This window comes from Homo sapiens, chromosome 20, assembly GCF_000001405.40.
Source record: "Homo sapiens chromosome 20, GRCh38.p14 Primary Assembly".
Lineage (NCBI taxonomy): Eukaryota > Metazoa > Chordata > Mammalia > Primates > Hominidae > Homo > Homo sapiens.
Window position 1 is genome coordinate 14,693,820 of NC_000020.11, and position 27,015 is coordinate 14,720,834.

The 27,015-nt window shown below is 37.9% G+C and overlaps 1 protein-coding gene across 3 annotated transcripts in view, besides 1 other annotated feature; it reads left to right on the plus strand.

Moving 5' to 3' along the window:
* Nucleotides 1–27,015, plus strand: part of MACROD2 (mono-ADP ribosylhydrolase 2) — a 2,057,682-nt gene that overhangs the window by 698,304 nt on the left and 1,332,363 nt on the right. The gene's annotated exons all lie outside the window — the stretch shown is intronic.
* Nucleotides 21,525–22,026: an enhancer, noted in NCBI's record as "NANOG hESC enhancer chr20:14695990-14696491 (GRCh37/hg19 assembly coordinates)". NCBI's record gives its function as "activates a minimal SCP1, AML or CMV promoter by ChIP-STARR-seq in naive H9 embryonic stem cells {active_cell/tissue: H9 hESC(naive)}" and the evidence as "EXISTENCE:reporter gene assay evidence [ECO:0000049][PMID:30033119]".

Below are 27,015 nucleotides of genomic sequence, written 5' to 3' on the forward strand. Positions count from 1 at the left end.
GAAGATCTCACTCTGGAGAGTCTGTTAAGCCATATACGCAGAACCGCTTCTTAATACTGTCAGATAAGAGAGATAAATGGCTCTATTATTATTTGTAAAATACATGGCACACTTGATTTGCTTGTTCAGCCCATGTTTTATTGAGTACTTACTCACAGCTAGAGTGCTCTTCTAGAGTGTAGACGACTATAGTGAGGAAGACAGCAGGCCCCTTGTCCTCTAAGAGCTTAGGTCCTAGCAGAGAGAGGATGCTAATGAACAAGTCACATAAAAGCAAAGAACCTCAGATAATGGTAAGGGCTATGAGAGAAAAAAGATCCCCTTACCAGATGTATACAGTAAGGATAGTTCATACATTTTTGAAATGTTCTCCCTTGCTACAAATATTCTATTTCAGTTCTTACATATTTGTAACTTTAGTCTAATTTTTGGAGATAACAAAGGGAATGCTGCTTCTGATAGAGCTGACAGGAATTTTAATTATTACCTATTTGATCTCAGAATTTTACAGATAAAGTAACCGAGGCCTAGGAAAATTACTTAATTTTTCCCAGGTCATGTGGTAAGAGACAGTGCTAAGACTATAGCCTGACTTTTAGTATAGTGATCTTTCTGCTGAAGGTACTGCCTCTCTTAGTCTCTTTGATCATACCAACCCTCTTATAGAAGTATGGTGAGAATTTAATAACTGTTAAGTGAGATGATGAACATGAATGTATTTTTAAAATAAAAGTTTCTTATCTCATATGGTACCTTATTATTTAGTAGTAATTTGTAGTAATATTGCAAGTAATTTTAGATGAGTTACATATAAATTAATTATGGTCCCATGAGCTTTGCCAATAAACTTTATGACAATAATCCATCAGTATATGTGCAACAGTGACTGGTGTTTGAGAAAATATGGAAGTCCCAGATAGGGATTAATAAATATTCAATACTAGCCTCAAGACTCAGACATTTGCTCATGTCTCTTTCCAGTATCTTGACCTCAGAGAAAAGGGGTACTTTAAAAGTTATTTTGAGAAACTTCAGATGACAGCTTTATTGGTTTTAAAGATATGTCCACAGATTCTTTGATATTTCTCTTCTGGAGAGCTAGAGCTTAATTCCCCTCTACTTAAACATGGCCTGGACCTAATGACTCCCTTCTAGCAAACGGAGTATGTCAGAATAATGGGAACATCTGAAACTAGTTTAAAGAAAAGACTGTGGTTTCCCTCTCTCTCTCTCTCTCTTTCAATTCACTCTGTATTAGCTTCCTAGGGCTGCTGTAACAAATTACCACAACTTGATGGCCAAAAAAAGCAGAAATTTATTCTCTCTCAGTTCTGGAGGCCAGAGAGCCAAAATCAAGGTGTCAGCAGGACCATGCCCCATTCTGAAGGTTCCAGGAGCAGATCCATCCTTGCCTCTTCCAGCTTCCATTGGCCTCAGGTGTTTCTTGGCTTGTGGCAACATAACTGCAATCTCTGCTTCTGTTTATACCTGACATCCTCCCTGTTTCTCTCTGTCTTTACCCCTTCTCTTCTCTTATAAGGACACTTGTCACTGGATTTAGCACTCACTCGAATCCGGGATCATCTCAAGGTCTCAAGATCCTTAACTTAATTGCATTTACGTAGATCCTTTTCCAAACAAGTTCACATTCATAAGTTCCAGGTATCAGGACACAGGCATAACTATCTGGAGTCACCATTTAATTCACTACATACTCTCTCTGAGCATGGCCAGTTTCTATGTCATGAGGCAGTCTAGAGGAGGGGAAAACCAGCTACCATGTTGTGAGGGAACTCAGACACCTTCTGGAGAGGCTTGTATGCTGAAGAACTAAGGCCTGCCTGCAGCAATGTGAGTGCGCTTGCAAGCAGATCTTCTGAAGCCAGCCCACAGCCACATCAGTGAGCTTGGGAGCACATTCTCCTGCCCAATCAAGCTTTCCGATGTCTGCAGCCCTGGCTGACAGCTTGACTCCAACATCATGAAAGACCCTGAGCCAGAGGCATCCAGCCAAGCCACTCCAAAATTCCTGGCCTGCAGAAACTGTGAGATAATACATATATGTTTTTTTAAGTGCAGGGTAATTTGTTACGTAGCAATAGGTAGCTAATGCAGCAACTATGATCCTGAAGTTTATAAAGCAGGGGAAAGGGCTCACTATCAGAGTGGGGGATATCAATCACATTTTCTCAGTGCAGAACCTGCCTGTGTCAGAGACAGGCCTAAATTGGAAAATGAAAGCCAAATCACATGGTGGGTAATGTTACATTATACAACCAAAGCCCTTTGCCATACCATTATCATAGGCAGCATATTACATTGGAAAAACTATTATGAACGAAAACTTCTTAGATAGATAGATAGATCGATAGATAGATAGATAGTCAAAGAGAACCCAAAGTCCAGCTTAGTAAAGAAGCATTGAGAGAAAAACAACACAAACCAAAACACACAACTGGATATTAATATCTACCTACTCCTGTTACTCCTTGACCATGCTCTAGTCTTTACCTTTGCCACTCACATGCTTTTTTTTACTGATAAGAATTACTGTTTCTATTTTGGGGGGAAAATTAATTCAGTTTCTGTCCTCTGTTAATGCTGTGAGCTAAGTGAAGCAGAGGTAACTTCTCATCCGCATATGTTGTGATGCCCTTCTAAATGTGTTTGCTGTATAAGCTGGTGTGTTTCCCATTAGCTGTTTTATTTTTCAGAACTACCGAGAGTTTGCTTCATTTTTAATCACGTGCTATTTGTGAAATCCCTGTAATTTCCTAAGGCCTTCTGGAGCTTGCCTCTTCCTACCTGTGACATTTTCAGGAAAGATTTATTCTCTCTGTGTGTTTATTCTGCTTAGTGAAGATCATGAGACACAGCCTTAACTGGAGTTTTGCAAGTTCTTTTTAAAATTGTGTCTGTATTGTGTTTGGAGTCTAGTTACCCATTTGGAGGTCTGTGGAGGGCAAAGGGCTCTCTTGGGAATCCCTTTCTTTTACTGATGCTCAGTGTCTGCTTTCTGATATTATGGCATGTGATGACAAACTATTGTCCTTCCGTACTGGGCTGGTTGAGTTTGTTCTTGCTTTTATGTTACTCCTATACTTAGTACAGTATATTAAATACATATACATGTCATCTCTCATGACCTTCATTCTCATGTAGAACATATATTTCCTTCTGAGTTATAATATGTTTTGTGAATATGGAATTCAGGGATTGTGTTCAGTTTGTGGAGCTGTTTGGGAAAGCAGTCTGAGAGAGTGGGTTTGGGAGTGGCTTGACGGAACTGGGATGAAGGGCACTGGGGATTCCCCAGGAAATCCGTTGGCTGGCAGAGAAGAGCTAACTGCTGTGCTGGCTAAGCTCATGGAACTGGGCTTTCCTCCATATGTCCGGGATATGTCCTACCTATTGTTTTAAAATTAACAAAAGTTATTTTGATTTTCTTCCTCCTAATAATACCTATTGCCTGAGAAGAACGATGCCAGATTGAGAAACCCCACATCAAAATATATCCAACAAAATGGTCAGAGCTTTGTACATAGAATATTCCATAGTTAGAATGATCCATACAGCTATGCACAAAGAGGGAGCCGAAACAGGGAACTGCACATCAAGAGTTAATACAGTACTTTTAGCCTTTCCTTAAATTCTCTGTGTTGTGCAATGGCAGGATTTCTCCATATACCAAATTAACTGATTGCCGTGGGCACTAAACCTGTTACCTTAAACACATTCATATCACACTACAAGTAATATCTTATCCTTTATACTTATTTTGAGATTAACTGTCTATCACACAGCCCTCTTTCCTCCCATATTCTCATTTTTTTTCTTATCACTCCATTCAGAAATAAGGGATCGATATTTTAAAGGCTGAATGTGAGATGTTTCTATTTATTGTTCATCATGGTAATTAGCAACTTTTTAATTATCACTGTTCTTGAGGATGTATGTTTGGGAACAGTGGAGCTTTCGGTAGAGTCACAATGACAGCAGTTTAAAGCTGGAAAGAAATCTGGAAATTGCTTTTCTGGCAACTGACACCAGTTTCTAGGCAGTGCCTAAGAACTAGGCAAGGATTTTTACCCTGTTGTTTAAGACTGTACACTTTGCATCTCACAATCTATCTGCTACATAGTAAGCAAATGGTTCATTCAGGCAGCAATCACTGATTTGCTCCCTAATATGTGCCAGGTGCTTTGCTTATTTTTTTGGAAAATAATACTGTGCAAAAACAGACAGGGACCTCACCCTCATGGAACTGTGCTGTGCTGAGCTGAAATGAATCAAGTGACCTGCCCAAGGTCTTCTTGCACAGATACTTAAGTGATGGAATGGGGATTTTACTTGGGGGCCCTTCCTTACAATGAAAAGACCTGATGGTTTTGGTCTTCCCGTCTGGGATGTTCTTTCCATTAATAGCCACACTGTCTAAATGGTTAATAACATGGACTTTGAAGCCCAACATTCTAGGCTCAAACTCAGGCTCTGGACGTGGGCAAGTTGTTTAACCTCTTTGTGCCTCCGTTTTGCTATCGGGAAATAGGTATGACAATCACCCTACCCTCACAGGGAGGCTCTCATGAGTTAATGTCTGTGTGGCACTCAGAGCACTGCTTAACTCCAAGTGAACACTGAACATGGTTAGCTGTTTTTCAGTAAGATCACCCCAACTATTTTATCTAAAATGTCACCTCTTCACTCTCTATCTTCTTGCCCTGCTTTGGTTGACATCACAGCCCTTATAATCATCTGAGGTTATTTAATGTCTTTATTTTTTTTTTTGCTGAATGTTTTTCTTTTCCACTAGAATATAATCTTATGAAAGTGAGGACTGCATTCACTGTTACATCTCCATATTCTAGGAACATATTCAAAACCACCTGTGAATGAGCAAATATGTGCACATAGAAAACTTTATTAATTTAATTAAATAATTAAATGTAATTATTTAATTAAATAATTACATTTAATTATTTTAATAAATTTAGTATAATTTAATTATTTATAATTATTAACAAAGTTATCAGAAGAACTAGCCTAAGAGTACTTTCAGTTTCATGCTCTGTTCATTTGATTCCTCTAGTAACTTGGCTAATAGATACAAATAAGCCAGGAAAATAGCATCAACATATGGTAAGGTCAAGCTCATATTTCATATTTAATATACCTACCAAGCAAGTTTTAGGTGTGCTGCACATCTTTTTCATATTTTTAAAAGTCTATAATTTAAGTAATAGTGTCCGGATGAAATAAAGCAAGAAGGAAGAGGTTTAAAGAACTTCAGGGACCTGAGAGCCATGTTCTGACCTGCCTAATGAAAAGCTCATGAATTGATAGTGAGGTCCTTTCCCCCGATACAGAGTCAGCGTTCAAAGTCTATTTCTAAGCTCAATTTATTGTTAAATCTCATTAAAATAAAGTGATAATTTTATGGGTTTGAAATGTGTTATAACTGACTTTTCTGATTGAGACTGCTAGCCCAAGTGCTTACAACTTGCTTAAATGTTGTAAATGTGTTAAAAGGGGGAATGTTGATGTGTATTTCCTCTGTGTTCAAACTGTTCAGATTTTATGGGAAATAATAAAGCTTTACAACTTGTTCTTTACAAATAGAATGCTAGGGACTTTGCAGCAACATGAGAAATCTATTTATTATTTTGTGTCAGAGCAAGCTGGGCATCTTCCTCTTTGTAGACTGCCAGAGTTCATTGTTATTTGGGACAGAGAAGGAAATAGCATGATAGTCAGGGAGATAATATTAATTTTACAGAAATAGAATCTTATTTTATTACAAGGAAGGCCGTCAGTCTCACAACTTGCACTCTATTTGTGAAGAAATATTCTTAAGCATATATTCCAGTAATATGTAGTTTAATACCTATGTGAAAACTAATTTCTTTTCCTCAAGCATCAACTTTTATCACAGAACTTTAAATCTAGAAGTTTAAAGTTTAAACTTTTTAAATCTAGAAGTTTAAAGTTTAAACTTTTTAAATCTAGAAGTTTAAAGTTTAAACTTTTTAAATCTAGAAGTTTAAAGTTTAAACTTTTTAAATCCAGAAGTTTAAAGTTTAAACTTTTTAAATCTAGAAGTTTAAAGTTTAAACTTTTTAAATCTAGAAGTTTAAAGTTTAAACTTTTTAAATCTAGAAGTTTAAAGTTTAAAGTTTAAATCTAGAAGTTTAAAGTTTAAATCTAGAAGTTTAAAGTTTAAAGTTTAAATCTAGAAGTTTAAAGTTTAAATCTAGAAATTTAAAGTTTAAATCTAGAAGTTTAAAGTTTAAATTTTAAATCTAGAAGTTTAAAGTTTAACTTCTCCTTATATTAAAGGAGCAGTATGAATATTCTTTGAGAGATGAACTTTAACCATATTTTGTGTGTGTGTCTCTGTGTGTAATATATACCTATAGACCATAGTCTGGGGAAAACTCATTTTTCACTTCTTCTTTTCATGCAAGATCTTAGGTGCTGTATTTTGCAACGTGCCGTGTAGCATTACATTTCATGATATTATAAGCTGAGTTTTATAGAACTGTTTCAAAAATTTTCATTATGGACCTTTTATATCATAATTGAGTATCTAGCAAAAGGTAAAAAAAAGTTCCACTTATGAAGCTGAATATCAATCACTCAACTATTCAGTTATGCTTAGGCATAGATGAGTAAGCTTGTTCTTTGACAGTTAAGACATATGGTGGTGTGTGTGTGTGTGTGTGTGTGTGTGTGTGTGTGTAATAGATGTGCCAGATAACTAAAATCTTTGCTTAGTACTTTGAGGGAAAAAGAGATTCGTGATGAGTGCATTTATTTTATTCCATTCTATCCACATTTTGTATAAAATCCATTTAAACAGGGGAACTAAATTGCTTACAGTAGTAAAATGCATTTCCCTCTGTGAATGTTGGTGCCTTTATGATGCATGCTGATTTGGACTCTGACACAGTCATAATCTACATACCAAACATAGGCATTTTGCTTTCAAAACAGAAACTGGCACTGCTAGAGCTGTAGGAGTGAGCTGGCTCACCAGAGTAATCTCTCCTTCTTGGAGAGATTTGGCTTATTGTTGATGGCCTGAAGTCCACTGTCTTGGACCTCAGAGTGGGCTTTCCAGTTTGTAGTAATGGGTTCTGTAGCATGCCAAGACTATAGAGACCCCCGAATTCATCTCTTTTATTTCCCTTCTATGAGGGAATTCCTGTGGTCATAAGGCCTGCAGCTTAACAGATGAGCAGAAAATGTGCTGAAACATTGGTGCTTAAAAATATACAAAATATAAGTGGGAATCAGTGTCTTTAGCTTTATCTTTGCAATGGGCAAAACAGAAATGACTCAAAAGTGATTTCTTTAGTTATGGAGCACTCAGGTTTCTCTTCTGCCTTTTGTATTTCCATATGTCACTGCTATCTATATTCTGTAGATACTCTACCTGTGACATTCTGGGATTATAAATATGTGAGTTGCATGCTTATTCACTTTCTCCCACCTTTTCATTCTATCCTGAGTAGTCTAAACTGAAAGCTTTTGAAAGCCTTGCATGTTTTCCACATCAACCCTTGAACATTTATACTTCTAAAAAAGGATGCTGGACTCTCTTGATAACTCTGTCCTTCAAGTTTGCCTCATCGGTGATGCCACTTGACTGAAAGTCCTCTTGGTAATCCAGTAATTAAATCCTTCTAGCTGAGGCCCAAGAGAGATCCCTCTGCTGAATTGCACTGCACAGTAAATGACATTATAATGAGGTTTTAACTTATTAGTTAAATGAATGAATGGAAACTTTGCTGCTGCAATTCATTAGATTTTTACGTTATAAACCAGGACTTGCTGCTGCAGATGAGAGTCCGTGCAATTTTCCCTTCGTATAATTAATTATCATATCAGTGTATTAAAGATAGTTTCACTAAAAGGAGAAATACCCTTGTATAGAAAGTCTAAGACAGTCTAACAAAACATGGTGATCACTTCTGTATGTCCCTGAGCTTGGTGTGATAGGCACTGTTCAGATACTTCTGCAATATTATCAAATTTTAATCCTCAAAACAACCCTCTGTGATAGTTACTGTTATTATTCCTATTATATATGAGGAAAATCAGGCACAGAGAGGTTAAACAACTTTCCTAAGATCTCATAGCTAGTAAGGGTAGAGCAAGGATTCAAACTCAGGCAGTCTCTCTCTATAGCTCTGCACTTATAAATAAGATTTCCTCTCATCCCTAGACATGAACATGAAGATTTGCTTATATATAAATTCATCTTATTGATATGTTTCTTTTGAATTTCTTCCCCTTTTTCTAATGAAAACTGATGATGCTATTTAGAAAGCTTTATTTTTTTTTACCTAAAATGTTTAATCTCAGAAAAGTACTGAGAAAAATAACAGTACTCATGCATTACCCACCAAGAATTTTAAACATATTAACATTTTGCCTCTTTATTTCTACTTTTTGTTTTTAAAATAAAATAACCAGTTATTTCTGACAAATTCTTCTTTTCAGTCTCATTCTTTCCTTCCCCTCTTTCCATTCCTTGTCCAGAGCAACCCACTCTTAAGAGCAGAATGTAAATCCTTCCAGACTGTGTTCTTATATTTCTACCAGAAGCACGGAAATAGCCATAATCCATATACATGGTATTGTGTTTTTAACTGTACACAAATGGCCTCATGGTGTATGGGCTGTACTGTTTCTTGGCTTTTTCACTAAACATTACATATGTGTGTGTGTGTATATATATATACACATATATGTGTATATATATGTATATATATGTGTGTATATATATGTGTATATATATATACATATATATATGTATATATATATACACATATATATGTGTATATATATATACACATATATGTGTATATATATGTATATATATGTGTGTATATATATGTGTATATATATATATTTTTTTTTGAGACGGAGTTTTTCTCTTGTCATTCAGGGTGGAGTGCAATGTCATCATCTCGGCTCACTGCAACCTCTGCCTCCTGGGTTCAAGCAATTCTCCTGCCTCAGCCTCCCTAGTAGCTAGGATTATAGGTGCCTGCCACCACACCCTGCTAATTTTTGTATTTTTAGTAGAGACGGGATTTCACCATGTTGGCCAAGCTGGTCTTGAGCTCCTGACCTTACGTGATCTGCCCGCCTTGGTCTCCCAAAGTGCTGAGATTACAGGTGTGAGCCACCACAGCCAACCTAAACATTATATTTTTAAAACCTCTCCATAGTGATCTATCTAGCTATAATTCATTCTCAGCTGCTATATTTCTTTCTTGCAGATACACCATATTTTATTTGTTTATTTTCCTCTAAATGGGTGATTAGTTGTTTCCAATATTTTCCTGTTATAAACAATACTGAGATGAACATTTTTTGGGTACATAATGTCTCACATACTTTGCCTCCTGGATCGGGATTGCTGGTTGGGAGGGACTGTGTGGTAAAATCTAGCAATGAACATAGAAGAGCAACAGCTGGGAAGGAGGGGTATGTCAGGATTACATTTGAGAATTAGAGAACAAAGTCACGCAGGAATATTTACTATAATTATGAGATAATAATAAATTACACTGCTAACAGATAGCCCAAGTCCATACTTCATGAAGTCTCTATAAACAAATGTTAGGTATATGTGAGGTTTAATAAAGAGAACTCTAGGCTGAGAGCCAAGAGACTTGGATTTTCTCTCCAGCTGTGCTCTAACCTAGCTTTGTGCCATAGCATAATACATTAATAGAGTTGGGCACAGAGGCTCACACCTGTAATCCTAGCGACTAGGGAGGCTTGAGGCCAGGAGTTCAAGACCAGCCTGGGCAACAAAGTGAGATCATGCCACTGCTCTCCAGCCTTGATTACAGAGCGAGACCCTGACTTATTTTATTTATTTTGTTTTAATTTAATTACTTTTTTTTTTCAGACGAAGTCTGGCTCTGTCGCCCAGGCTGGAGTGCAATGGCATGATCTCGGCTCACTGCAACCTCTGCTTCCCAGGTTCAAGAGATTCTCCTGCCTCAGCCTCCCAAGTAGCTGGGACTACTGGCGCACACTACCACACCTGGCTAATTTTTTGTATTTTTAGTAGAGACGGGGTTTTACCATATTCCCCAAACTGGTCTCGGACTCCTGACCTCAAGTGATCTGCCCGCCTCAGCCTCCCAAAGTGCTGAGATTACAGGTGTGAGCCACCGCATCTGGCCTGAGACCCTGACTTCTTTTAAAAAAGCAAAACAATACATTAATGGTCTCTGAATCTCTTTTCTCTTATCTGAAAATGAAGAATTTTTGGTAGTATTTTCTTATGATTTCTTCCAGCATTAATCTACCCAAGTTAAGGCTGGAATAAGTTTCCTTTATGATATTAATACCTCTCCTCAGCATTGAACTAAATGATCCACAGGCCCAAATCTTCATCGTCCCCCAAACTGCTGCCCTGTTGTCCCTGAATATAGCGTCCATTTGTAATTCCAGGCAGTGGGCTGTAATGGGCCCTTGATTTATTGCGCCCTTTTCCTACCGTGTAAATAGCCCAGCTCACTGCTTCTTGGGTGGGATAATTATGAACCTTGTGGCCCTCAGATTTCTCAGTGGGATCGGGCTCCAGTTACCCACAGTGGTAACTGGCTTGATAACAGCATTGTTTATTGTTTCTTTCCTACTCCTGTCTCACTTCTCTACTTCTGGCCATTGTATTCTGAGGTCACCTGAGATTCTTGTCTCAAGATCTTCTTGCTGGGGAAACTCAAAGGAAGATATCCACCTATTCAAATCCTGCCTGTTTTCCTCCCTCTAGCTTCATTCTATAGCCTTGGAAGGTTCGTCCTGGCCTGTTCAAGCCTGTTTTCCTCTCTCTAGCTTGATTCCACAGCCTTCGAAGTTTCTTCCTGGCCTGTTCAAACACAAGCTCATGGAGCTGCACCAGACTCTTACCACATTTGTCATTGGAACCAAGTAATGCAACATCACATATGATTATATGCGTGTTCTTTTTTTAAATTTTATTTCTCACAGCCTTGGAAGCTGGGAAATGCAAAATCAAGGCCTGGCAGGGGCTGGCTTTTGAGACAGCTAGGTGTTAGCTGTTACTTCCTATGGAGGAAGGGGCAAGGAACCTCTCTTGTGTCTCTCTTTTTTTTTTCAATACATTTAATAGTATATATAGTTAAGGCCTATAATATGAGACACATTCAGATAGTAAAATGATTACTATAGTGAAGCAAATTAACAGATTCATCATCTTACAGTTTCCCATTTTGTGTATGTGTGACAAGAGCAATTATATCTACTTACATAGCAAAAAAAAATCCCACATGCCACACCACTTTCTTAACTATCCTCCTCATGTTGTACATTAGATCTCTAGGCGTGTTTATTCTACCCGTCTGTTACTTTGTATCCTTTGAGCTACATCTCTCCGTTCGTCTCACCTACATTCATGTTCGTACTTTTTATGTCCCTTCCCCTCCCAAGCATAATATAAACCGCCAAGAGCCAGGAACTCTTTTTTTAATTTCATTTTTATTAAAAAAAAATAATGCCCCTCTATGCCTAGCATGGAACTAATGCAGAATGTACCCATGTAGTGTATTGTCACTGAATGAATAATTTAGTCTGAGTAAGTCTATATCCCCAGGACTGATTTTGTGGATGCCAGCCATCTCTTCTTGGATTTCTTTGCCTTTTAATTAACTTCCCATTAGACTTGTGGTTCTTAGTGACCTCCTGAGGGCCTGAAAATCAGAAGGTTGCAGACTGGGCCATCTATTTTATGGGAGTAATATAAAGACATACTCTCTTTGGTCACGTTTTCAGAACCTTTTGACTAAATGGGCAGAAGTAATTGGGAATAAAAATGTGTTGGGAAGTAGAAGTTATAATTTCTTATTTTTTTCTAATAAGGACTTTAATTCTAAATTCATTCATAGCTTTGTTTTAAAGTTATTGTCAGTATTTTATGAAGTTAAAGACAAATTCAAACATTAATGATTCTAGATGTTTTGCTTCAAGTATCTTTGCCACTGTTTCCTCCTGTGAGATGGAGTCTAGATTTTCTTTCCTTCTCTTCCTCTCTCTCTTTTTCTTCTCTTCCTCTCTCTCTTTTTCTTCTCTTGTACAGAATAAGCCTGATTTTTTTTAATTTTGTGATATTTTAAAAATTCTCTTTTATTTTGATTGATATTGCATATGCTTAAAAATTGGTAGAAGAGGCTGGGTGCAGTAGCACATGCCTGTAATCCCAGCGCTTTGAGAGGCCAAGGCGGGTGGATCATGAGGTCAAGAGATCGATACCATCCTGGCCAACATGATGAAACCCCGTCTCTACTAAAAATACAAAAATTAGCTGGGTGTGGTGGCACACACCTGTAGTCCCAGCTACTGTGGAGGCTGAGGCAGGAGAATCACCTGAACGCAGGAGGTGGAGGTTGCAGTGAGCAGAGATGATGCCACTGCACTCCAGCCTGGTGACAGAGCAAGATTCTATATTAAAAAAAAAAAAAAAATTGGTAGAAGAATTCAAGTGAGTGAAACTGAGAGTTTATGGTTTTCTCCAGCAAATCAGTGAGTGTTTTCCCTGAACATGGATGCTTTGGCTCTGGTCTTCACACTCTGTGAGATGAGGACCAGCCCTTGTGGCCTCTGACTTCCAAGACTTCAGTACCTGAGGGTATTATTACATATTTTATGAGTTTAAAAATTGAGGAAACTTTTTTCCCCTCCAACAGTGAAACATTCTATTTATCATTTGTTGAACCTGTCTAGTGAGTACTGATTTTGTAGAATACTTCCCCAAAAGCTGATTTTCCAGATTCAGTTCTTTTCAAACTGCAACCAGCCCGGCTGGGCAGACAGCCCTCTCCTTTTGCTCCGCTTTATTCTTCCTGAATTGACTTTATCACTGTCCCTCCAGCCATTTCCAGGATTCATCACAGATTATCTCTGCTTGTTGGCAGAAAGCAAGCACCGCCGAGACTGAAGGGCACAATTGCCGAAAGGTTCTTCTTTCAGTTCAGTCCTCATTCTAATTTTTAACTTATTTGGTGCTGCTGTGGAAAAGCTGTTTGCCTGAAATATGGTAAATAAATAAATAATATCCTACATATGGAGTCCATAAAATAGGATGCAGAAAGCTAGGAGCTCAAATTTAGATCCAAGGCAGTAATTCTCCTTGCTTCTTTTTCCGCTTCCCTTCTTAGCCTCCCTTTTCTCCTTAAATGATCAGGCTGAATGGGGTTGTCAGGATTGAAAGAACAGGATCCCAGATTTTATAAAATTGTTTACTCCTCTCTGTTTGAAATGTGTAACTTTGCAGAATTGAGTGTAATTCCAGTCATCTCCTAAAAGGCTGGGATGATGGCCAGGGCGAATGGGCTTCCTGACCTTTTCTGTGTGGAGAGGCTTCACGGAGGAGCACTGAGGGCAGAAGACACAGAGCCAGTCTTCCATGGAGGCGACCCATAGCAGCGGGATCCAGCAATGTGTGAAGTCATGCTGGTTTTACATATGAACCAATTTGAATAGAATCCTTCATTTTTTTTACATAAATATTACATCTTAACCTTTTCATAGAAGAGCCTCGGTTTTCTTTCCAAAGGTATAAAGGCGAGGTCTGTGTTTCCATAAGCAGAGAACATTTATCCTCTGTCCTGCCTCCCTCTAGAACAAAATCCATTGCTGTCTTAATTTCCAGTTTTGATTGTAGCTCTCAGTGTGAGACCTCCCAGTGCTGTAGAGTGTGTTTCCTCTATGAGGCTCACTCACCACAGGCATAAAGATCGGGGTGAATTTCCCAGCCGCCTACATCCGGGAATCTCTCATTCGGACTCAGCAAGATCATTTTTATTTTTGACCAGAACCTTATAAATAAATCACAAATATATAAATGTGATAGGGAAGGCGCCCATCACAACTATTTGTTCAAACAAATCCTGGGCCCAAAGAAGGAGTGAAAAATTAACTTCCTATCACTTTATTTTAGTAGTTCATACTGACAGCAAATATTTAATTATCCATTATTTTGAATTCCACATTAAAATAATACTCATAAGGTTTGGATTAATAGAAAATACTCATATTTATAATAGTTAGAGCTTTCCAGATACATAGAGGCAATATAGTCTAGTGCTTGGTAATTCCCTAGAGTTGGAAACCTTGGTTTAAACCTGGCCTTTACATCAAACAAGCTATGTGTGCATAGGAAACTCTGAGCTCTTTGTTTCAGTTCTCTCATCTGTAAAAGAGACACAACAATAGTGACTAACTCACAGGATTGTTCTAAGGATAATATGAGATGATGTGTAACACATACAATACCTAAAACTTGGTAAGCACTGTTAACATTAACTAGTAATAGCATTTCAGTCTCTTTTCTGTTCATTACGACATTTAATCTTCCTGATAACCTCTTATTATAATATACACTGTGGTAGACTAACTTTGCTTTAAAGGGCCAGATAGTAAATATGTTCAGCTTTGCCAGCTGTATGGTTTCACTTATAAACACTCAACTCTGCCAGTATAGTTCGAAAGAAGCCAAAGGCAATGTAAATGTAAGGGTGTGTCTGTGTTCCAATAAAACTTTGTTTACAAAACTAGGTGTCAAATGAGATTTGACCTGGGGACTGTAGTTTGCTGATTCTTGACAACTCTCTACTTGCTGTTACAAATAAGAACATGAAAGCAGCTTGGTTAGGAGATTGACTGTGAGAACATTGCTACTTAGTGGTATATTTCAAAGTAATATCCATTTTTTTAAAACTTATTTCAGGGCTTTTCTGCACAACTTTTTGTTTGTTTGTTGCTTTTATTTTGAGACTGAGTCTAGCTCTGTCACCCAGGCTGGAGTGCAGTGGCACGATCTCTGCTCAATGCAACCTCCCCCTCCCACGTTCAAGCGATTCTCCTGCCTCAGCCTCCCGAGTAGCTGGGATTACAGGTGCCCGCCACCATGCCCAGCTAATTTTTTTGTATTTTTAGTAGAGACGGTGTTTCACTTTGTTGGCCAGGCTGGTCTCGAACTCCTGACCTCGTGATCCACCCACCTCGGCCTCCCAAAGTGCTGGAATTACAGGTGTGAGCCACCGTGCCTGACCTGAACACCTGTTTTTGATGGCAATTTCTTATCTAGTGATCATCTGCAATGTCTGAGATATAGACTTATGTACATCATTGGTTAGAGTGTGGGTTGATGTGAGCAGTCTTCTTTGACTTTGTTTTATAGCCAAGAGTTCAGCTTTAAATACTGAGCAAACTTCCTGCCAGCATGGATTTTGGTTAGAAAAAGAAATGGGCAAAAGTAGATGCCTGTTTCAATCCTGACTGAGGAACAAATGTAGCACCTCAAAGCATTTCTTTATACTTATACATTTCTTTAGGTTTTTTATATAACACTAAAATACTTACTTTTTTTTTTCAGTCAAAAATATATTCCTGAGTTCTAAATCTTTAATTTGGGGGACATGGATCAAAATTTTGAAATTTTGGTTGTAAAAGACACCTAGAGGGGCACGAAGTCTGTGGCTTGTGCAAAATCTTTTACACATGCTTCAAGGATGCACACACATATACAAACACACACTCTCACACACTCACATAAGGTAAGGAGGGTGTTTGGGTGTATAAAAGCAAACAGTAGAAGCTGCCTCAAACCACTGTATCCAGTATATATCCTGATCCAACATATATGTATTTAGATTCAAATTTAATAGGTCTGGCGTCAAATTTCTGAACCCATCACAAAGTAGAAGCAATAAATACAAAAAAGGCATATTGTTCATAAAGCGTGACTGGCTGTAGCAAGAGATGACAGCTGACCTTTGGATACTAAACTAGCCATAAAACTGAAAAATCATGCCATGATACCTTGTTGAATCACTTCTTAAGTAAAGGTTAACTTACATACATTACATTCTGATTGTTTAAACAGAAACAAGTGTAGTATCTTTTAGGATTAGGTCATTTTAAATTTATTCTGACAATTAGAAGTTTTGATTCTTCAATTTGTTAAATTGAGTTTTCTGGAAAATGTACCTCTTTCTGAAGTTGAAGTTGGATAAATGTAGCAATTCCACATGTTCATCAATGTGTTACAGCCTAAAATTCATCTTTTAAATGAGAATATTAATTTCATGTTTATAAACATATTTTCTAATTGATCAACTGTATTTATTTTTATTTATATATTTCTCCATGCAAAATAGAAATAGCTCTTTACTCAGATGAGTGATACTGAATCTAATATAAAAGCAAATTTGTATAGAAGAAATCCAGGGACAGCAGCGGTCAGAAGATAATTCACAACTTGATGAGGTAAACTACCTTGAATACCCCTGAGAATGAGAGAGTAAGCAAGGAGACCTCGAGTGGCCAAAGCAGAGATTTCAGTTATATTTACTGGACAAAATGGACACCATAATCAACAGGGAAACACAGGATGTACTTTGGGTGAGTGGTAAAGTTCTGCCCATATGAAGGCATACTCCCATTTATTTGCTCAGTCTTGGCCTGGTGACAGGCAACAAATATTGAATAAGACCCTTTAAATGAATTTTCAAAAAATGAAGTTTAGTGATTTAAATAGCATTTAAAAAAATCAAATTCATAGTAAGGGTGCAGTAAATATTTGGTTTACAGTTTCATCTTGCATACTGTGGAAAGACGATGAGCATGGAACTTGTTATCACCACGTAGAATTCCTAAAATAATTGTTTCAATAAATACGGAATAGTAGCTCAGGTTTCAGATTTTTACATGTTATTGACTGAGCCTCCCTTTGGGGAAAATTTAAAAGTTAAAAGATCTCTTTTAAGATGATTCAGAAATGCAAGGTTTATTTAACATCTTCCTCATTGCCATATTGTGTTCTGTTGTTTTCCTCATATCATGTAACTTATTATCATTTTTTATTACTTAGTTTCATTTTTACTTCCTTTACCTACTCACTCATTAATTCTTACTGCCAGTATTTTAAAACCTTTCTGCAAAAAAACACATGCAACTGCACTGGGTCAGTGTTTCTCCTGATTGATAATCCACTTTCCACCTCCACATCTAAGTATACAATCATTGATAAAAATGAAGCCCCCATGGACTCTTCTCCTGAGAGATCTCATTCTTCCTGCTTATCAGCTTCTGCCCTCTGTCTGAGGGATTCCATATTGGCATCTCCGAAATGGAGATATTTTCCTATCAGGTGTATTGGAGTTAAAATTGAGAGAGAACATGCAATCATTTTTATCTTTTCCTGAATCATATGCAAGTTTAGCACCAGGTCGAAAATTCAAGCTTAGACTTGTTTGTGCTCTAAAGATTGAGAAAGTTGCTCAGATTGCTCTGGAGTGGGTCATGAGTTTTCTTCCTGGATTTTTGTTCAACACAGATAGCCATCTTTGATTTATTGGAACCTCTTGCTAGAGCATAGTTATAACTCCCAGAGAATCCTTTTGAAGTCAATTTCAGCTTTTTCATATTCAAGGAAAAGAGGAATAAATCATGTATCCATTTTTGATCTGTAGTTTTTCAGGAATCATTCTCAATGTTGTTGAAGAAGTTAGAAAAGCCCAAGCTAATCACTGTATCATATAGGTTTTCCGAAGGCAAGGTGTAGAAATTTTTAGTGTTGTTTAAGCAACCCATTTATTTTGAAGTATTGAAATGTTATTAATCCTAAAGACCAGGTGATAGTTTATATATTCTTGAAGGCTTTAAAAATATAATTAGCCTCTCTGTTACAAATTGAGTCCACATTCATCTTGGGGCTAATTTATTTCCTTTACAAAACTAACGAGTGTTTGTCTACAGGATCAGTGAACTAAATCTAAATGGGGGCCAAACCTTCAACTTCACCCTCTGGCAACTCTTTTTCCCATTTTCAGAACTCTTCCAAATCCCCCGCCCCAGCCCCAGTATTTCCAATTGACTTATAGAAACAGTTGCATTGTTCTTTTGCCCAAATCCCAAGCATTCCCCAGAGAGCTGTTTTCACTTTCTTTAGAGCACTTACAGTTTATCTCTGTAAGAGAATAGTTTTGAGTTTGGCACTTAGTCTGTTTCTTTTTCATTCTAATAGGAATCGCCTTAGAGCTAGCTAAGTCCCTGTTAGTCAGCTTCTTAAGTGCTGACCAGACTTCTTCCATCTGTATAGAACACTCACTTTTTCACATCAGAGGTTTAATGAAACTAGAAAAGAAAACTCTTTAAAATAACAATAATAATGAAAATCTCTAATAGATTCAGGCAACTTTACATATATCTTTTCAAGATTGGGTCAATTTTGCAAAAATTTTGAGGGTTTTATTTTTTAATATGGCCTCAGGTTAGAGTCACACAAATCAGTTAAAAAATATATTTCTTTGAGTTGGAAATACACACTTATTTCATCCCTGTACTTCTATATAGGGGAGTTATTTTTAATGAGAAAAATTTATAGCTGACTGCCAATGACACATAAAAATTAGTATGCATTATTAAAAATAAATTAAGGCAGAAAGCAGCCAAAGTGGACTTTGTTCTAGAGTCTTGGTAAACAGCCAACAGCAGTGCTCACTTGTCTTCATGTGACATTAAATAGTGCCCGTCTAAAAAGTGATTAATAGATACCGCGGGTTGGAACAGGCTGGCATTCGTCTGTTTCTTACAGCTCCTGATACACGTTGAATGCCCTGCATACCTATAGTTCTTAAGGGAATAGTCACTGTTGAGACATTTAGAGAAGCTGATATCAGATGAGGGCAATCTTGTTTTGGCTATTTTACCACATCTCAAGTATACAAAGTCTACATATAAACATTACGTAATGCCTTCAGACATTGCACTGATTCAAATAGATTTTAATGAGAAAGGCCAACTTTTCCTGTTTCTTGGTCATTCAGAGACTTTTAGGGAGCTTGAATTGTCAGTATCTCCTAATCTCTCAACTATTTTTTTCTTTTGATTTTTAATCTCACTCAGTTAGACTGTTGGGAAGAGAATACAATAGGAGGATTAATGGCTCAGAGCAGAAATGTTTGCTTGTTGGACAATAGGAAGGGAATTTGGTAGAAGTTCTTACCCTTCCTGTTTACATTCAGTAATGTTGCTGGTATATTGAAAAGACTGTCAATAGTGGGTATATATTTTTTTCAACAGTAATTTCCAACATCTTGTTGTTAGGTGTTCATCAAAATAAGAAAGACGGAGAAAGAAGAAAACAGAGACAAAAAGAAAAAAGATAATGGATTTGAGAAGTCAAGTCAATTCAGTCACAATATGGGAGTAAAGGACAGATTAAAAGAAGTTTCTTGTGTGAGTGTGTGTGTGTGAATGAGTGTGAAAATGCGTGCATGGGTACATGTGCCTTAGAGTAGAGGTAATTGGAAGACTTGAGGAGAAATTACTCACTTTTCTTTTAATACCAATGACCAGACAGCTTGCCAGGTGCTCACTCAGATTTGTATCATATCTTTACATACTGTCTTCTGGATAGGTACAACTATCCCCATTTTTCAGATGAGGACACAGAATCTTAGAGAAATGAAGAACTAGATCAAGATCTGTTTGAACGTAAGTGGTTGAGTCAGGATTTGAATACAGGCTTTTTGTTTTTATCACTCCAGAGTCTCTTTTTTCTTCCTTGGTAAATCCAGACTTATCACTGGAGATTCTGGTTCAAAATTACTCTGGCAGTTTTACCACCTAATATATGTTACTCCAAGAATTTTCCAAGTCTGATTAAATAGATTAGGTGGAGTCCTCCGAAACCCTTTCCTGATTTCCTGGGCCAAGGTAAAGCATATCTCAGAGCAAATTTTAAACAGTACTTTGTCATTGAAGACCTAACTATATATGAAGCATTGTGTAGGTGCTGAGAAAGGCACAGAAAAATATACAATAGGGCACTTGCCACCAGTGCCTTATTAATTAGATAAAGAGATAAAACATACACCTGTGAAAAGCTAAAAAAATTACTATTATCAATTGACAATTTGGCATAGCAAAACAAGGCATGATTAATTGCCAGATAACACAAAATGCATGTGGTAGAATTTGAGAGATCTGTAATTGGACTTCAGTGGCCTGATAATTCTTAATGGAAGCGGTTTAAGCTGGAGGGAAAGGATGGGCAGGATTTAGACAGGGAGAACAGAGGTGGGAGATGAATTCAGGCCTTAACAAAAGTGTAAAGAAGAGCAGGACAGCAGGAGGCTGGGTTGAAGGACATAAACAACAGGAAGGTAAGTAAACTACTTTGGACAAAGTGGGGCTCTGCATAGATAGGAAGTGGAAAAGCAACCTCAAAAATAGGTTGGGCTCAGGTTTTCAATCCTGAGTGCCAGCATAGACTGAGCCTGTTGCCATGGGTACGTGGAAAATGACAGAGTCAGTATTGCACTTTGAGAAGATTATTCAGGAGGCAGGGTGCAGGATAGAGGACGAGTGTCTACAAATAAAGAGTGAGGCAACACATATGTCCATCCTGCATTGGGCCACACCAAGAACCTACCATGTGCACCTCTCACCACCCACTGGCGCTCAGACTGCTGCACACAGTAGCCCCCAACTCATCTACCCAGATCCACTTTTGTCCCCATCCACTCTGTTCTCCACAGTTTCAGCCAGAGTGATCTTTACAAAACATAAATTATTGTCACCTCCTGCAAAAGATTTCAACGTGACCCATAAATATATTCTTATTTTTTCCTCCATGTCCTATCCCTCAACATGACCTACAAGACCTGGCCTCTGCCTTCTCTTCGGTCTCATCCTTCACCCTGCTCACTCTTGTTTTCTAGGCATGGTGGTCTTTTTAAAAACTGTGTCTCATTCTTTGTGTTCAACATGCCCCCTCTCATGATAGGGACTTTGCTGTTTCCTCTTCCTGGCATTCTCTTCTTTCCCCTCATTGTCTTGTCAACTCCTACTTATCCTTCACATCAACACACTCTAATTTCAAGACCTCCTTGACTAGGTCAGATCCCCTTATAGAAGGGTCTCACAGCTCCAAGTAACTATCTCTCCTTTGCAGCTTTTATTACATGTGCGGTTTCACCACTTATCTAATAGTTAATTCATGTTTCTTTTCCGCAGTGTCCACAGTGTTTTTGTTCTTTATTTAATTCAAGAATCTAGCTCTTAGTGGACTCTCAATAAATATAATATAGTGGAAACAAAATAATATGTGGTTAAAATGTAAGGTGTTGTATTAGTCCATTCTCATGCTGCTAATAAAGACATACCTGAGACTGGGTAATTTATAAAGGAAAGAGGTTTCATTGTCTCACAGTTCAGCATGGCTGGGGAGGCCTCAGGAAACTTACAATCATGGCAGAAGGGAAAGCAAACACATTATGCTTCTCATGGTGGCGGCAAGAAGAATGAGAGCTGAGCGAAGGGGGAAGCCTCTTATAAAACCATCAGATCTCATGAGGACTTACTATCACAATAATAGCATGCAGAAAACTGTCTCCATGATTCAATTACCTCCCACTGGGTCCCTCTCACCATAGGTGGGGATTATGGGAACTACAGTTCAAGATGAGATTTGGGTGGGGACACAGCCAAACCATATCAGATGTTATAAAAATTTCTATATTTGAAGGCCTCAGCTATTGGCAACATTACTTAATTTTAAATACATTTGGCACTGATTTTAAAAAAGTGTTACATAGTATTGGAATTATTTTCAGAGGGCTGAAGAATCCTTCATACCTTGGAGAGTGAGTGAGCACTCTTTAGCAGGCCTCTTGTGCTTCCAACCTAAATGCAGGCAAACGTCCTGTTGGTATGTAAAGCTGCCACCCAAATGCAGAGAACCTCTAGAGTGCATGCTGTTCTCATTCAAACTGTCCCATCTGTTCAGACATGGTCAAGCTCTCTGAGCCCTGGGAGAACGAAAACAGGCCAGGATTACCAGTTTTTACAGATTTTAACGTGAGGCTTAGGGTCTGTGGGCTAAAAGGTTGATTGTAGTTTTTAAGTTAAACATCAACAGGGGCTGAAAAGACCCTAAAATTACATTTGGGAGTCATACAAAGACAATACAGCTCCAACTGCATTACTCGGGACCTTTTTGCTGCTGAAACAGAAAAAATGATAATTAACCAATCAGGATGAAATGTCAATTTGAGAGGAAGGTAATGTGAAATTTTCCTAAATCATCTAAACACCAAAAAATCTGTTACATCTGATTTCCAACCTGCTCTGTTGCTATGAAAACTTACTCTCCACTCAGCTCTCTGAACGCTACATATTCATGCAATTATAATTCTTTCTGAAAGATGGACTCTGTAATGATATGAAGGCGTTTTCCTTCAGTCTGCCTAGAGTTTTTCCAGAGCCACTTAATAAGAGCCATGCTCTTTTGGAATTATTTTGCTTTATCCACATTTTTCTTCATGATCCAAATAAAAGATAGTTTTTTAAATGTGAGGTGGCAGTTGTCTTGGGATATATCTCTATGGCATTTGCTAAATTAAAGCTCATCTTTTCAAGCCCAGTCTTTATTTTGTTTTCCTATAGTTTGCTGGCAAAATCAAAGCCCTTGCTTCCTTACTCTTGCACTGTGGAGCAGACTGGTAGGATGATCACAGGGGAGTGAGCAGGCTTCAGTGGTTCTTAAAAAGACAATTTCCATTTCCTTGGCAGAGGGACCCCATACTGCGCTCCAGCCAATTCTTAATTCTTTCTGCCATTGGTTCCGAGGGGCAGGCTTTTGTGGGGAGGGATTATTTGTTTCTTTAAAATCCACCGTGGTTCTTTTCCCTCCCACCTTTTCCCCTTTCTTTTGTGGCCTGGAACAATACAATGTTAGCGATTCAGTTTCTGACTTGCAGAGAATCCATCTATGCTTGGAAAAATGCAGTTCAATTATATACTGCAGCTTGAGGTGAGATAGAAGTGAAGATGGCTTAACACGTGAAGTGGGTAAAAAAAATGTGTAATTGAAACAGTATGATGTTGATGAGGCAGTGTGTGAGGCTGTCAGGAGGCATTATAATAAGCTGATGAACGAGACTAGCTTCCTAGTTCTGCTGTATGCAAATGTTCCATTATTTTTGGTGGAGGAAAGGAACCTGGCATATTAATTGGCTTTGTTTTTAGAGATGCAGGTGAAGCCTTTTCATTTTGCTTTCTGAAAAGAAACTTGCAATATGTCCTTAAATTATGTTTAATTTTGAGTGTCGACTTACAAAGAAATAAAAACTCTTCATTTTTAAAAAATTTAAAACAAAAAAAAATTTGGGGGTATTGAACCTTAGAACCAATCACTAAAAATTCTGATTTTGTGTCGACTAAAAATTCTGATTTTGTGTCAACTAAACTGCATATGAGATCTTCGAGTTTTTAACACTGAAACATAATAGTTAATTTTTTAAAGTACTATAAAACAGAATATAGAAAATAAATTACACTATACTATATTTTCTATATTTGGAAGTTTACAGTTGTTTGCATAATTGACAAGTTCGTTTCCTGGTGCAGTCATCAGCAGGTTATACAGGATGTATCTATCTGTCTCTTTCTTCAGAGGACACTGTGTGTGTGTTGAGAATGAAACCGAATGTGGGTGGTAAGAGGAAATATTAATGAACTTTTAAATATCTCTTTCCTTGAAAAGACTGAAATATGAGGTCTTAAGTAAAATAAATCATTTAAAGTATAAAATGCTTAAAGATCCTTACTTTTTATTACCAAGTTATTAGCAGACTGCCATACTGAATACCTTTTATGTAGTTTTTTTTTTTTTTGGCTAACATTTCCAAACAACTTTAAAATATAGTTATTCATTAACCGACTTGTGACTAATCTTTTTCAGAGAGAGAGGATTAACTTTATTCCTCTCCAGTTTTAACGTGACCAATAAGGTGATATGCAAGTGAGGATTTGGGGAGGTGGGGAAGAATTGGAGAGAGGTAATAGAACTGATCCTTGAGTCAGTGGGATGTTGGAAGTGGTTTTCCATTACTTTCCTTGGTTCTCAGAAAACCAGGGAGATAGGGAGGATGTTATCAGGCCCTTTGACCTTCTGGAAGTGACTGTGGACTTAGCAAAAGCTAGTTGGAGCTAGGGGAGGAAGGAGGCAGATAGATAAAGTAGGAAGAAATAATTGTTCTCCCTAAGCACAGAATCCAAGGTGGTGCTATTAAAACAAACAAACCAAAAATACACACACACACACAAATGCACACACACACGTCTGTGAATGTATACAGAGATGGTGCGGTGGCTCGCGCCTGTAATCCCAGCACTTTGTGAGCCCAAGGTGGGCAGATCATGAGGTCAGGAGTTCGAGATCAGCCTGACCAACATGGTGAAACCCCGTCTCTACAAAAAATACAAAAATTTGCCAGGCGTGGTGGCACGTGCCTGTAATCCCAGCTACTCAGGAGGCTGAGGCAGGAGAATTGCTTGAATCCAGGAGGCGGAGGTTGTGGTGAGCTGAGATCACACCACTGCACTCCAGCCTGGGCGACAGAGAGAGACTCTGTCTCAAAAAAAAAAAAAAAAAAAAAAAAAAGAAGAGATATATATGTGTATATATATTAATATGTTGACACCACAGAGTACAGTATTAGAGGAAACAGTGTGGGTGCATGTGATTCAAACATCAGTTGTGAGGCCGAAAGAGAAGCTAGTCAACAGGTGGGGGTCTTTTAACTCCTTCTCTCCCTCCACTGATACAGAACCCCCAACACTCATATACAGTGTGTTTCCAGAAATCCAACCTGGCTATCCCTTTGAGGCTGATAAAGGAGCCAAGTATCCAACCTGAGATCCTGTGGTTCATGGAGTCTGAGTTCCTATTGAACACAGATCATGGTTGCCTGGATGGGAAACCTGGTTTAAACATTTAAATGATCAGAATCAGAGCAGCCTGAAACAGTCATCCTTGATGCTCAAGTTCCTGAGAAATAATTACTAGAAACAAAATTTCATTGTTTGGAAACTTTTCCAGAAAATGATAAAATAATACTCGTGAGAACATAGATCACAGAAAAAGAAAGTTCAGTTCTAATGTAGTATGTTTCTTTTACCTAGATTTATTCATTGTTCCTGTGTTTATTTTCTTTAACAAATATAAACAAAGAAGAAAAGGCAGCCTCCTGTATAGAATGCTTACACATTTTATAAGTTAAAAATACATATAGTCAGCCGGGTGTGGTGGCTCACGTCTGTAATCCTAACACTTTGGGAGGCTGAGGCGGGCAGATCACGAGATCAAGAGATCAAGACCATCCTGGCCAACATGGTGAAACCCCATCTCTACTAAAAATACAAAGATTAGATGGGCATGGTGGTGTGCACCTGTAGTCCCAGCTACTTGGGAGTCTGAGGCAGGAGAATCACTTGAACTCGGGAGGCAGAGGTTGCAGTGAGCGAGATCGCGCCACTGCACTCCAGCCTGGCGACAGAGTGAGACTCCATCTTAAAAAAAAAAAAATACAAATAGTCATTTTATAGTTTAGTCTAAGCATTTATTACACATTTCAAAAGACAAATAAACTCTCTCCTACTTTTGTCCACCTGTAAGACTCATTTCAGTACCTATTTTATTTTCTCCTAGTTTTTCCCATGGTCTTAGTTTAAGAATTCCCAAATTCTCACTTATTGAATTCACTCACAGAATTCTACTTCCCACTACAGTTCTATCAGGAATAGGCAAGATAGAAAGAAAAAAAAAAAAAAGAAAGAAAGAAAGAAAAAGAAAATAAAGAAAGAAAAAGGGATGGGAATTTTGCAAACATGGGGGCCTGATTACTAAAAGCCTTATGAGATGCTCATACTCATTCTTTAAAGAATATTGGAAATAAATCAGTCATGCATTTAATTAAACCATCCTAAAATGTGCCCCTCTTAAAAAAAAATGAGTGCCATAATACTTCCCAAATTCCCGGAAATGTTGTATGTCTAAGAAAGCAAGATCTGAACTGTAGGTGTATTTCAGTTGGAAATTGTAGTTTACATTACTTCTAATTCGAGGCCTATGTTTGGTCATTAAAAGCTCCCAGCTAAAAACAGTGACCCTGCTCTCCATGTGTGCGCAATCTTCAGCCAAGTCCCACCAGAGCATTGGCCCTTCAGTGGAGGGAGAAAGGATGATAGAAAAAGAAATTCTGTGGATGTGAGAGGTTAGGGATAGAAGGGTATTTGGGCAGCTCTGGCTATCTCATATCTGGAATTTCACCTTTTATCTTCCTGGAGGATGACTCCTTATATGGTCTGCTTTGTAGACCACTTTCTTGAAAAGCAATTGCATATAATATAAAACAGAGGATGCTGTGCTAAAAAGAAAAACAACCCTCCTTTTATTGATACTTTTTTCTCAAATATAGTGATCACTACACGATAGTAATAATGGTTTGATATTTGTAAATCTTAGGTCTTAGGAAAAACCACATATGGTCTGTTAACCTAAATGATCTTTAGAATAAAGTACAGCGTTCTAATCAATTCAATTCATATTTCACATGTAGTTATTCTTTGACTAAACAAGTACTTTTTGTTAAAGGAAGCAGGTAAACTAAAATTTATGTATTTCCTCTTCTGAAGTCCCTGACGTAGTTGGTTTGGAAAAGGTCTCCAACCAACCAGGGTGCTGAACATTCATCCTGAGTAATGTGCTGTTTTGGTTGATAACAGTTGTCATAGTCATTTCCTCCTTTAGTTAGCATTTTGGCCTAAAGGTAGTAGATTTATGGTTTTTAGCCTGTTTCATTTCCCAGCTGCCCCACAACTTTTTTTTTTTTTTTTTTTTTTTTTTTTTTTTTTGTGAGGCAGAGTCTCGCTCTGTTGCCAGGTTGGTGTGCTGTGGCGCCATCTCGGCTCACTGCAACCTCTGACTCCCTGGTTCAAGTGATTCTCCTGCCTCAGCTTCCTCTGTAGCTAAGATTACAGGCTTGCGCCACCACCTCCAGCTAATTTTTGTATTTTTAGTAGAGACGGGGTTTCACCATGTTGGCCAGGATGGTCTCAATCTCATGACCTCGTGATCTGCCCTCCTCAGCCCCGCAATGTGCTGGGATTACAGGCAGA